The sequence below is a fragment of the Homo sapiens genome, chromosome 19 (genome assembly GCF_000001405.40).
Source record: "Homo sapiens chromosome 19, GRCh38.p14 Primary Assembly".
In the NCBI taxonomy this organism is placed as follows: Eukaryota; Metazoa; Chordata; class Mammalia; order Primates; family Hominidae; genus Homo; species Homo sapiens.
Genome location: NC_000019.10, coordinates 29,277,476 through 29,291,330, shown reverse-complemented (window position 1 = coordinate 29,291,330; position 13,855 = coordinate 29,277,476). Strand labels below are relative to the sequence as shown.

Here is a 13,855-nt window from a genome sequence, read left to right as displayed (position 1 = left end):
TAGCACACTGCTGGGCACAGGTGCTGCTGCAGATGGCTCTCATGCTCTGTGCCACATCCTGGGCCCTCCTGACATCAGCACTGCAGTGAGCAGTGCCAGGCCCATCACCAGGGTCTCACTTCTGGCAGGCAGCCTGCAACCTCTGCTTTTTTGATTCGGAGCTTTCTTTGAGCTGTGGGAGTCTAATCAGCCATGCAGAGGCACAGTCTGGAAGAGCAGAAGGGTTAACACACTCAAGGATGAACCCTCTACCAGCAGGGGATGCTGTGGGGATCCACGCCCAATCTCTAGTCCTTCAGAGGGGCAGTTCTGAGCTCCATGCTCCCCTGCTCTCCAGAGACTGCTCGAAGAATTTCACAACACTGCGTTGGCCCTGCAGATTGGGCCCCCATTTCCCACAGGGCTGCACCCTGTCACTGGCTTCCTCCTGCTCCGTTGCTCCTGTTCCCTGAGGTCACCTCTCAAATCAACTACTTGCACCCAAGTCATTGTTCAGGGTCTGCTTTAAGAGACACCCTAACTAGGACAGGAATTCAGCGGCTGCGGGTTTAGTATCTTCAGTGACAAGTCGTGGGACCAGGCTGGGGCCTGCCGGCTGCCTGTTGGTGCAGAGCCGCTCTTCAGAGCTTTGCTGACAATCCTCTGCCTTCCTTACCCCCATTTTTGTGGGGGCAAGTGGCCAGTGGGATGGATCTGCTCTTTCTCATCTGGGATGTGATGTTAGATGTCTCAACTCCAGAAAGCTCTACTCACCTGGGGAAAGTCTTTTGCCAGCCTGAAAAGCCAGAAAGTCCTCCCCGTGTGACAAGGAGCAAATGACTTCAGTGTCATATAACTGCCCCAAACTCCAGAAGAACCAGGGTCTGAGGTGTCTCATCTTTTCAGACTGAGGTGTTAAGAGCTGCATTACTCATTGCTATTGCCTGGTGCTTGCCTGGTTAGGAGCTGCAGAGGAAAGTCAATGTTTTGACAAGTTGACGAAGGCCTAGAGCCAGAATGGCTGTAAAACTCTGCCAATGGGTGCCCTAAGAATTCCAGAACACTGCATTTGACACCTAATTTCCTCCAGAATGAGCTGTCTGTTGGAGCCGGGGGCCTGCTGGAGTCATAAATCCTACCAGGAAAGTGGCTCTGCATCTGTCCATCTGATGCCTTTAAAACAGTGAAGCTCCTCTTTGTCCAGTCTCTGGAGATTCCCATGGCAATCCCACTCCCTGCAGAAGCTGTCACATCTGGGAACCTTCCTCTACCTTCCCTGAATTTCATCTCTCACACCCTAGAGCAACCATGACTAGATGGTCTCAGGATCTCCAGATCTGGCCACCACATTGAATCAGAACATCGCAGTTCCTTAGCAAATATCAGCCACTGCGTACCCTGCATTCGTCGACTCTAATCCTTATACCCAGTCCTGGGAGGTGTGCATTGCTAGACTCAATGTATAAGTGGGGAAAATGAGACTCAGAGGGGGTGAGTGGTTTGTCTGAGGTTACACAGCCAGTACTCAGTGAAGCTTCTAGGCAGTCCCAGGCCACTGACTCCACATCCAGTGTTTCCTCCATCAGAACATATTTTCTTGGAGGAGATGGTGCTTGTAGTGACTGATAGAAGATGAAGTGGGTGACATGGATGTGCAGGCATTTAAGTACTGCTCATGGGTAGAGACACTGTATATCCACCGAGACACAAACTCACCTGGGCTGAAGGTTCTTGCTCGTTTGGGACTGACTAGAATGTATGAGGTTTCAGTGCCTTGGCCCTGCCCTGGGCTGTCCGTCAGCCTCCTACCCCACATGGCTTCCCATGAGCAGCTGGGCACAGGTGCTGCTGCAGATGGCTCTCATGCTCTGTGCCACATCCTGGGCCCTAGTGTCCTGGACACTAGACAATAGTGTTTTGGTTGTTTTTTGTTTTGTTGTTGTTGTTGTTATTGTTTTAGAGACAGGGTTGCCCAGGCTAGAGTGCAGTGATGCAATAATAGTTCCCTACAGCCTCAACCTCCCGGGTTGAGAGGCAAGTGATCCTCTTGTCTCACCCTCTCAAGTAGCTGGGACTACAGCTACATGCTACCATGCCCAGCCATTTTCAAAAATTTTGGAGAGATGGGGTCTTGCTATGTTGCCCAGGCTGGCCTCCAACTTTTGGGCTCAAGTGATCCTCCTCCCTCAGCCTCCCAAAGTGCTGGGATGACAGGCATGAGTCACCGTGCTGGGTGAGTATTCTGGTTTCTTTCAGCCTCCAGGGTTAGCCCTGGGAGAGACACATATTTGGGGTCTGGTGGCATATAGCTGAAAGATTTCACCAGAAACAAGGGCCCCTGAGCTGAGGACCAGAATTTGGTCCAATCATGGTGACTCCAATGGAAAGGGGCTCCCTTTTTCCCATCTCAGAGGCCTTGCCAGGCTGCCAGTTAGACCCGCAACATACTTTGGAAGCTGTCACCTAGGCAACTGAAGGTGTGAATTTCCTCTCCTGTAGCACACACCTTAGACCAGGCTTCCCTCCTCCACGAGGAAGCAGGCATGTTTCTTAATGTCGGAGCTTGGAGGAGGGACAAGTGTTGGGGCCATGCAGAGCCTCTGCTCTCTGCTCCATGACAGCCATTCAGAAACAGATCCTGGGTTGGAAGCTTCATTGCACAACCCACGTCACAGCCAATGTTTTCCTGTCAAGAGACGTTGACCATTTGTCTGATCACAGAGGCATTTTTCCTACAGTCCTGAATTAATGCAATCCAACTCCTTATCAGCACCTGCCAGTCTGCATGCCCTTAGACTCCTGCCCTGCAACTTGTCCCCTTGCTCAGCACTCCAGCCACGTTGACCTCTGTGGCATGGCACCACCCGCCAAGCCAGTTGGTTCCCAGGTCCACACACAGGGGGCTCCTTCTCTCACTGCGCTCTCTCCTTGAGGCCCCTTCTAAATCTCCTCCCTGTCCATTGCTCCCTGTCTAACATCTCCTCCTGCTTCTGGCTCTCTATCCCATGACCATGCCATTTCCTTCCAGCATGACCATTGTCTGAAATTGTCTTATCTGTGAGTGTACTTGTCCATTGTTTGCTTTGCCTTATTAAAATGCAAATGGCTACATTCAGGGGTGTATCTGCATCCCCAAGCACAGTGTCCCGGCCCATAGAACATTTGTTACATGAATGAATTCCTAACAGGAAATAAGACTGTAGCTTCCAGAAACTCCATCTGAAATTCACAGTAAGTTGATAATGACTTTAAATGATCACTTACCTAATATGGTACAGCTGGTCTTCCCTTCGTCACTGTTTCCCTGCTTTCCCTAAGAGCTCTCTCTCTTGCTTTCTTCTTGTCCTCCCTCTCTTTCCTTTCTCCTTGGCTCCTCCCACTCTCCTCCCTCCTTCCCTTTCTACCTGCCTCCTGGGAAGCAACTAATCTGGTAGGCCGACAGGGGAAACTATCCCACCTGGTTTGCCCACACTCACCATCGTAATGATGAAGAAGTCTTTAGAGGGGACTAGAGGAGATTGCGTCCACCCAAGGAGTCCTGAGACAGGCCTGGAGCACAGGACAGCCCCTGGGATTCTCCAAGACAGCCCATCACTTCTGGGATTCAGAATCACTGTAGCTTGCAGGGTGCTTGTCAAGGGGTGAGTTTCAGGCTGGGGTGCTGGAGATGAACAAACAGTTAAACTCATCATGGGCGTAAAACAAAGACCAAACAGCATGAGCCCCTCTTGCTCAAATAGGGCCATTTTGTTTATCTTTAACGGTGTCATGCTTTTCTGATTCTTACAGGATGCTTCAGTAGAAAGTGGAAATGCTGTCTCCCGAATTTGCTGAACGATGATGTTCTGAGGAGACCTGCACTTGAGAACAAAAGTGACTACTCTTTTGTCCTAATCTTAAATCCCATCACCTTGGCTGCAACTGCTGAGTGCTGGTAATGAGTGTTGAGAGGCAATCCGAGGATGGTGATTAGGTATTAAGCCTGGGCAGGTATTAACCGAGAGGTGTGTGGACCTTTCGCTCAGCACCACAAGAGCAGATCTCTGCCAGCAAGCTTATCTGGCCATCAGCCAGGGACAGAGCTGCACTGTGGCAAAGTGAAATGTGATTTTAATGATTCTGAGCACATGGTTTCTGCCTCCAGCATGCTAGATTTGTAGACTGGCATTTTTTTTCCCTTGGGTAGATTCCAGATGTTGTATAACTTGTGCCTTTCTAAGTTACAGCATGGTAGATGGGGACTTGTCTTTGTTATGAGCATGTACAATGTGGGTCGCAGTTAAGCACTGTCAAATAGCCTCCTAAAAGATGAGTTTGTGTGGAATAAAGCACTGAAAAAGGAACCTGAGGTTTCAGTCATTTTAAAGTAGCCGGAAGATATGGATCAGAGTTCGGGATTTCTGGGAAGCCTTTTAACCCAAACACCACCCGCTCCCGGCCCCAATTCACGCACATGTGCACGTGTGCACACACACACACACACACACACACACACTGCTCTCCCATTTCATGACCCTTAGACAAATCATACCTGCCTATTTGAGGCCTTTCTCACAAATTCAGTTTCCTGAGCTTCTACCGCACACTTATGAAAATGATGCCCAGAGTCTATATGATGAATAAGCCACCTCAGTAGGGCTGCCAGTTAAAACTCAAGACACCCAGTGAAATTTCCATTTCAGATAAACCATAATCTTGAAGTACAAGTATATCCATGCAATATTTGCGGTGTACTTACATAAAATATCATTTACCTGAAACTCAAAATGTTATTTGTGTTTTTATTTGCCTAATCCAGCAATTCTAGTTTTGTGGTTCAGTAAATCGAGAGAATGCTGCAGGCCACAACCCTCCCCAGGAATTTGCAGTGCACCCTGCAGGGGTATCTAATGTCTCTAAGTCCTCGAGGAAATAAAAATACTCATACTCACAGTTGTCTATCTGAAAAATCAGATTTTCCTGGACATCTACGTTTTATCTTGCAATCCTACACGGGGTCGCCTTTTCTGAGGAATACTTAAAGAAGTGCACGTTGGAAAACATGGAATTTTAGAGTTAATATAAGTTAGATAGGGGTAATAAGGCTTCCCGGAGGAGGTGCAATTTTTACAAATAAAAGGGAGGAGAGGAGATGGGCAAACTCCCCTGGAAGAAAGCCCGTTGATCTGCGCGGGGCATAGAGAGGGGCTGGAGAGTTACTGCACTGTCCTGGTGGCCACTGGGTCTCTTCTCGAGGAGCAGGAGTGTCCCCTAGTGGAGTGGTCCTGCCTGGAGTGGGTGGTCAGAGGAGCGCTTGTCAGCCAGCATTGCAAAACCATGAGGAGACCCAGTGGGCAGCTCTTGACCCTCCTTCTACACAGGAAGCTGACTTTTGTGGGGTGTGGGCAGGAAGCCTCAGGCTACAGCTCTGCAAGACCTGCTGGAACATGCTGGCATCAGCACCTCCCTCTGAAATGCAAACCAACAGGAGCATTGTTTCTGCTTCCTTTTCTCTTCTTTTTCTTCTTCCTTCTTCTCTCCTCTCTTCTTCTTTCCTTATTCTCCTTTTTCTTCTTCATCTTGTTTTGAAGGTAATTATTTTTTTGTAAATTGCAGATTTGTTGAGTAATAATTCATGTACCACAAAATTAACTCTTACAGAGTGTACAGTTCATGGGTTTTAGTATAATTCCAAGGTTGCACCATTATTGCCACTATTTAATTCCAGAACATTTAATCATTCCCTAAAGAAACCCCATATCCACTAGCAATCATTCTGTTCTCCCTAACTCATCTGCTTTCTGTCTCTACGGATTTGCCTATTCTGGACATTTCCTATAAATTGCATCATAAACTATGTGGCCTATTGCATCTTCCTTCTTTCACTTAGCTTAATGTTTTTGAAGTTCGTTTATGTTGTAATACATATTCGTGCTTTGTTCCTTTCTATGGCTGAATCCATCACACGAATGTACCATAGTTTGTTCATCCATTCATCAGTTGAAGGGCATTTGAGTTCTTGCCACTTTTTGGTGATTATGAATGACGCTGCTGTGACTATTCACATACATGTTTTTTGTGGATGCATGTTGTTAATTCTCTTGGGTATATACCTCAGAGTGGAAATGCTAAGTCACATCAACGCCCTTTTTGAAGAACTCTATGTTTATTTAAAGTTAAATCAATGTTTAACTTTCTGAGGGTCTTCTGTTTTCCAAAGTGGCTGTACCATTTTTCATTCCTACTGGCAGTGTATGAGGGTTCTATCTTCTTCACATCCTCACCAACACTTGCTATGATCTGTCTTTTTAATTTTAGCCATCCTGGTGGGTGCAAAATGGATTCTCATTGTGGTTTTGTCTTTTATTTCCCTGATGATGAATTATATAGAGCATCTTTTTTGTGTTTATTATGGCCATTTAAACTTCTTTGAAGAAATATCTATTCAAATATTTTTCCCATTTTTAAATGGACTGTTTGTGTTTTTATTAATATTATTGAGTTGCAGGAATTCTTTATATATTCTGGACATGAGTCCCCTATTAGATACATGATTTGCAAATATTTTCGTTTCACTTTCTCAATGGAGTCTTTATTACTTTTTTTAACTTAAAACTTTACGTTTTTAACTTTCCTAATTTCAGGCTATTTTACTTCACCGTTTGGAAGTTGGTTTACCACCAAACACATTCGGGAATTTTTCTTTTTTCTGAAATTGAGAGGCACAGAAATCCTCGAAGAATAAGTTTTTAAAAGCATATTTAACATTATAACAAAATTCTATGTTTCTTAAATGGAAGAAAACCCAGTGTTTTCTTAATTCAAACAATAAAAATAAATCTTTGCAAAATTGTGTCCATTTGTAGGCAAACCAAAAAGATGTCATGGTCTATGTGAAGCTTGCCCTCCTGTGGAGGGGCCTGAAATGGGATTTATGCTTTCAAAAGCAGTCATAAGGGTTAATATGAGTGATAATTTTGCAGTAGAAGATCCTCACTGCTTTAGCCTCAGGAGATGCAGAGAAAAATATATATTTTTAATTATTTGTGATTATTCAGGACTAATGCATTGCTTTTGTTGATTGATGTGTAGAAATTTGTGCACAGGTGTATATGTGAATTAGTTTTCCATCCTGTAACCTAAAATTTTTTTTGGTTGATATTCAAGCTTTAGTCCTTGAGGGAGAAGATTCTTCTTGTGCCTTGGGACTAAGTTGTAAACTTTGACTTAAATGGAGGTTTAACTGCCAAGTTATACCTCCCATTGACCTCCCATTCCTAGAGCTGATGGATAATAGTTGGCAATTTTCTAAACTATTCCTATGGGCTTCTACAGAAAGCAGCTGGTCCCTGGGAGATTCAGACAGAGGCTGAGCTTCTTGGCTGCCTGCAGGTTCTTTCCTGGGGAAAGGAAGGGGTAAAGTAGGACCAGCTCAAGCCAGAGTGGAGTGAAAGGGGCTGTTGTGGTCCCCAGCCTGAGTCTTAGCAACCCAGGTATGCTCAGATGTGCACCTTCCTTGTTTTTTACTTTCCTCTTAGATACGTCCACCTAGGTGTGAGTTAGGGATTCTGCAAGTAAGCAATCATGTGGTCTTGGGCAAGTGTCTTCCCCTCTTCATCCACCAGGCAAGGATTAGGCAAGATCCTCTCTGAGGTCTCTTTTGGCTCAAGTATTCTTCCATTTCCATGGCAGGTTCTGTGCAGGGACCTCACCCTCCCTGCTGATATTCCCTCTGCCTTGCGGGAGGTTTATGGGGGATTTGGACAGATCCTAATCCCTGTCCCATGGGCAAACCCTGCCGTCTCTGGGGCTCCGTTTCTCAGTTAGTTCTGTGGATGCAGCTCTTGTGTGACTGTGGCACCAGCCTTAGGGTTGCAGAATTCAGGGAAGCACTAAACTGAGCCATGTTGACAAAGTGCCTGGCTGATGTCACAGGGCAGTGCAGCTGAGTGTCTTGGGCTCTTTGATTGTGAGAACTGGAGGCTGGATCTTGCTTACTCATGGAGGTGCAAGGGGACCCACTGGAAGGACATGGAAGGATGTGAGGGTTTGTTGGGAAAGGCGGGATTAGAGAGTTTCAATAGCAAAGGATGCTCTGGAGGAGGTCCAAGTATTTCCCATGGCATAAATGGATTCCAAAGAGAGGTATTCTTTTGGAAGACCATTCTGCTGACAATTCAAAATACAGAAAGGAAATGTGTCAATGGGACATCAGTGCCTTCGTCCAGATTGTCCTCTTCTGTCCCCTTGAGTGACTATGAACTTATTGACTCTTTGTGGTTGGATGGGGCTGTATGTGTTGCCTCTGGCCAATGTATTTAGAGCAAAGGTGACATGTGACAGCCTGGAGCAATATGCTGAGGGACAAGACCCTGCAAAATTTTCTTTTTATTGCCTTCCTCTTCATGAAAGCATGGACTGAAATGCAGCCTGAATCAACCTGGGTTGAGAAACTACAATTATCAAAGCCCCTCTTTTGACTTGGGATGGGCTCAAGAAAGAAAGAAACCTTCTTTACACTAAGACACTGAGAATTTGGGGTTGCTGGTTATGCAGCATTACCAAACCAAACCAGACTGATAGAGGAGAACTCTCCTTACTTGGTGTGGGTTGAATGCTCACACCTGGAGGAGAGCAGTACACCTGTACTCTCACTAAGCTCTATCCAATGGAGGCATTAATTACCTCATAGGAAATGGGTACACTATTATCAGGAGAACAAAGAATGCATGCTAGGCTACAGAAAGATAGCTGCTCACTATCATGGTCATACAATTCATCCAGGAACTAACCAATGACCTTGACCTCAAGAATGCCTGTTCCATGTGAGCAGATGAACTTCCCTTATCAGCTCACTTCTCAAGCAATGGCACATTTCCCCCTACTCCACAGCAATCTCAACACCAAAACCAAAACCAGCTTCTGACCTAGCTTTATTTATTTATTTATTTTTTATTGAGATGCCCAGGCTGGAGTTCAACGGCATGATCTTGGCTCACTGTAACCTCCACCTACCAAGTTCAAGTGATTTTCCTGCCTCAGTTTCCTGAATAGCTGGGATTACTGGCATGAGCCACCATGCCTGGCTAATTTTGTAATTTTAGTAGAGATAGGGTTTCATCATGTTGGTCAGTCTAATCTCGAACTCCTGACCTCAGGTGAGCCACCTGCCTCGGCCTCCCAAAGTGCTGGATTACAGGCCTGAACCACCGCACCTGGCCCAAAACCAGCTTTTGAATTCTAGTTGCTCTAAACAGGCCCAATCAGCCTTTAGGGATGCTCTTGGGACCTCATTTGTCACCTACTGTATTTAATTTAGTTTAAAACCACAAGATCTCCTGAAAAAAGTTTGAAATTCACTGATTACATTAAATATTAAAATACACTTTATTGCATAACATTAACAGGCTGTATTAAAATACTCAATAAATCATGTTTTGATTGTGCCATGGTTATAACATGACCAATACATGAAGAAACTTTTATGCATTTAATAGGATGAAAACGATCTCATGGCATTTCTAGACTTTTCTTCTTTCCACTCTGGCGGGTTAGTGCATTTTGTCACCATCTGACACATTTAACCATCATTTGAATCACCATACTACCTTCAAGTAGAGTGCTGGCTAATTAAAAGAAACAAGAATAAGTATATATAATAAATTCAGAAATCTTGCTAATTATGTGCATATTGCGCTATATTCGTGCTGCTAATAATTCAAAGTATAACCAACATTTTAAAAAGCCGTCATCTAATTTGCCAAGCTCTCCTAGACCCACATTTTATAACACTGCATAGGGAGAGATAGAGATAAAATCAGCTTTCTTTCTTTAATCTGCAGGAGTCATTGGAGAACATAAAAGTCAATAGGTCTCCACGTTGCTTAGACTTCAAGCATCTAGGTATTCCATGGTGTTGTTTCTTTGAATGGGGAGAAGCAGATGATCAATAGAGAAGATGGAGTCTATTTATTGTACAAGGACGGGGAGCTTGTGCTGGTTTAGATTCTGCAGGAGGGTCTGCTGGTTGATGAGATGTCTAGATTGGTCAGTATGTTCAAGGTTATTTGCTGTGGCAATGTTTGTAATAGCAAACACCTGGAAGCAACCTAAAAGTTTGTCAGTGGGATTGGGTTGAATAAATTTGAACATCCATGCAAGAATCTTCTAGGACTTTATGAAAAAGAATGAGACAGCCCTCCATGTAGCCACATGAGAAATTCTTCAATATGTAAATTTTAAGTAAACATGAAAATAATAGAACATGCTGCCATTTGAATTAAAGACAGGGGAAAGATTGTATCTTGCTTTTGTATGTATGTGTATTAAAAATTCCCCGAGAGGTTAATATCTAGAATCTACAAGGACTTCAAACAAATCAGCAAGAAAAATGCAAAGAATCCCATCAAAAAGTGGACAAATGAAATTATCAGACGTTCCTCAAAAGAAGATGTACAAATGACCAACAAACGTGAAAAAATGCTCAACATCACTAATCATCAGGGAAATGCAAATTAAGACCTCAATGAAATACTACCTTACTCCTGCAAGAAAGGTCATTACTAAAAAGTCAAAAAACAATAGATGTTGGAGTGGATGTGGTAAAAAGGACATGCTTATACACTGCTGGAGGGAATGTAAATTAGTTCAACCTCTATGGAACACAGTATGGAGATTTCTTAAATAACTGAAAGTAGATCTACAATTTAATCCAGCAATCCCACTACCGGGTATGTACCCAAAGGAAAATAAGTCGTTATATCAAAATACACGTGCATGCATATGTTTATTGCAACCCAATTCATAATTAGAAAGATATGGAAGCAACCTAAGTGCCCATCGACTAATGAGTAGATAAAGAAAACGTGGTACATACACACCATGGAATACTACTCAGCCATAAAAAAGAACAAAGTAATGTCTTTTGCAGCAACTCACATGAACTGGAGGCCATTATTCTCAGTGAAGTAACTCAAGAATGGAAAACCAAATACTGCATGTTCTCACTTATAAGTGGGAGCCAAGTCATAGGTACACAAAGGGATACAGAATGGTATAATGGAGGAGGGGAAAGGTGGGAGGAGGTGAGGGATAAAAACTACCTATTGGGTACAATGTACACTACTCGGGTGATGGGTTCACTAAAATCTCAGGCTTCACCACTGTACAATTCATCCATGTGACCAAAAACCACTTGTACCCCTAAAGCTATTGAAATAAAAAGTAATTAAAAATTTAGAAAATCATTATTTAAAAAACTATGGAAGGATACACCGGAATCTAATAACTATGCGTTTATTTGCTGCGGGGGAGTAGGACTTAGATGAATGGAAGAAAGAATGGGGGAAAGAAAGTTATTTGAATAACTTTTATAATTTCATAATAATTTTGTCTAATAAATTTTAACCAGGTGAATGCATGACCTAGTCAAATAATTAAACAATTTGACTCCCCATCAAAGAAAAGGTTGAAAAAGTGTTCAGTGATTGCAAAAAAGTGAAATAGTTCTCTTCATCCTGAGGGAAATGTGTAGGGCCCTCTACTTCCACAGGACATAGTGACTGGGTCAGGAAGGAACACAAGTCATTCTGGAATGAGGGTATTCACAAAGACCAAGAAGCTGGAGAGCTCCTTCCCAAAGAAGAGAGAGCGAGAGACTGAGGGAAGTTAGCACACAATTTTACGGTAACGACTTCCAAAGGCTAGGCTTGAAAATATTCAAATAAAATCCCAAGTGAAGTAACTCAGAAACAGAAAACCAAACACCGCATGTTCTCACTTATCTGCAGGAGCTAATCAATGGGTACACATGGACACACAAAGGGAATAATAGACTCTGGAGACTCCAAAAGCCGAGGTGGGAGGGGTGATGGTTGAAATTACCTACTGGGTACAACGTTCACTATTTGAGTGATGTCAAAGCACACTAGAAGCACAAACCTCACCCTTGTGCAATATATCCATGTAACAAATCTGCATGTGTATCCCGTGAATCTACAAAAGTTTTAAAAGGGTCGGGCACGGTGGCTCACACCTATAATCCTAGCACTTTGGGAGGCTGAAGTGGGCAGATCACCTGAGGTCAGGAGTTTGAGACCAGCCTGGCCAATATAGCGCAACCCTGTCTCTACTAAAAATATAAAAATTAGCTGGGCATGGTGGCCTGCACCTGTAATCCCAGCTACTTGAGTTGCTCAGGCACGAGAATCGCTTGAACCTGTGAGGCAGAAGTTGGAGTGAGCACTCCAGCCTGGGGAACAAAGTAAGACTCTCTTAAAAAAGAATTTAAAAAGAAATAAAAAAATAGTTATGAATGTAATCAACCTCAAGGCATTGACACACTTAGAAGCCTGCTGGGTCTGGCCAGTGAGAAATCAGTGAAGAAATAGCTTGAGGCAGACCAGAGTGTGCAGGTCCTGCTCCAAGACAGCTCTTGTCAGCCCGCTGCTGGTGGTGCTTGGGGAATGCCAGGGCTGAGGTGCTACTGAGCACATTGCAGCTTTCCCAGGGCAGGTGGCAGTCTGAATCTTATGTAGAACCTCTTGAGTTTTATGCAGATATGCTTATCAGCTATTCGTTGTTCCTTGAGCAAACCTTGCTGTGAACGTGGTTCTAATCTGGGTCTCTAAAATGTGTAAACTATGCATACAAGGACTTTCTCTAAAACATGGTTTGCAGTAGTGCAAATTGGAACAGAATCACCTGTTCTTCAACAAAGGACTGGTGTGTAAGCGCCAGAACACGGAGCTGGAGAGATGACAACATGTACCAAGGGAAAAAGTTAAGTTGAAGAACAATGTTTGCTGTGATCTCAGGTTTTGTAAGAGCAACGACAAAGCGTGTTTGTACTCCTAGATTTTTAATCGTATATATGATTATAAATGTATAATCTCCAAATTAGGTATAATATATGCAGTTCTATAAATTTGTTAAAGGTATTTCGTGTGTTTGTTTCCTTTTCTTAGGGTCTTAAGGTAAGACCCTAATATGCTTTAACCCTTCAGGGAACACCCTTCCTTTTTTCTCTGTTTTAGTTCCATCCTCCGTAATTTAGGGAAAATAGATTTTTTTCTGAAACTGTCCATGATAAATAAAACATAGTCTATCAATTGTTGTCTTTCCTTTCCCCTCCTTCCCTTTGGTTCATGTATGTGTGTATTTTGAGTTGTTTCTTGTCACAGATTTTTCTTTTTTTAGAGCAAGGATATGTGGGTAGTAAACTTTTTATGTCCGAAAAGCTTAATTGGCCATAGAGTTCCAAGTTGGCTTTTCATTTTATTTTGGCCTCTGAAGATATTATTGCGCCGCTTATGGTTGGGAAGTCTGTTCTCCACCCAGTCAATGGGCACCCCTTGGTGGTTGGTCGTTTCCCTTCCGATGGCCTTTCCTGTGTTTCTCCCTGTCCGTGGCGCCCTGCGGTTGACTGTGAGGTGTAGGGGATAGGTTTATTCTTGTTCATGCTGCTTGTTTCTTTAGGAGGCACTTTCACATCGAATTCTGTCTATTTTTGCCTTTTGTTACTCTTCTTGAATGTATCTTGGAAACTTTCTCTTCATACACATGCACAAACACACACACATCATATACTCAAGATATAATTCATGCAAAGTTTAGAAACATTCAGGCATTTGATGGAGAATGAGAGAAGTGCTGTAGGGGAAGGGGGCACATAAGGCAAAGAGACAAAATACCTTTAGAAAATTTATAGAAATGCATAGATATCATATCTAACTTAGAGATTATGCATATGTAATCATATGTATGATTTTTGTAGGGGAAGGGGGTTTCAACTGTATTTAGGGTATGCTATTTCCTTTAGAGATTCTCCGAAGGAAGGAAGAAAGGAAGGAAGGAAGGAAAGAAGGAAGGAAAGAATACTAACCATGCCTTTTTATTT

The 13,855-nt window shown here is 43.5% G+C and overlaps 1 long non-coding RNA gene across 1 annotated transcript in view; it reads left to right on the top strand.

Annotated features, from left to right (window-relative positions):
* VSTM2B-DT (VSTM2B divergent transcript) overlaps positions 1 to 4,322 on the top strand; it is a 238,742-nt gene extending 234,420 nt beyond the window's left edge. Inside the window, exon 10 of the long non-coding RNA NR_040029.2 lies at positions 3,769 to 4,322. This is a non-coding gene — a long non-coding RNA (VSTM2B divergent transcript). The remainder of the gene's footprint in view (positions 1 to 3,768) is intronic.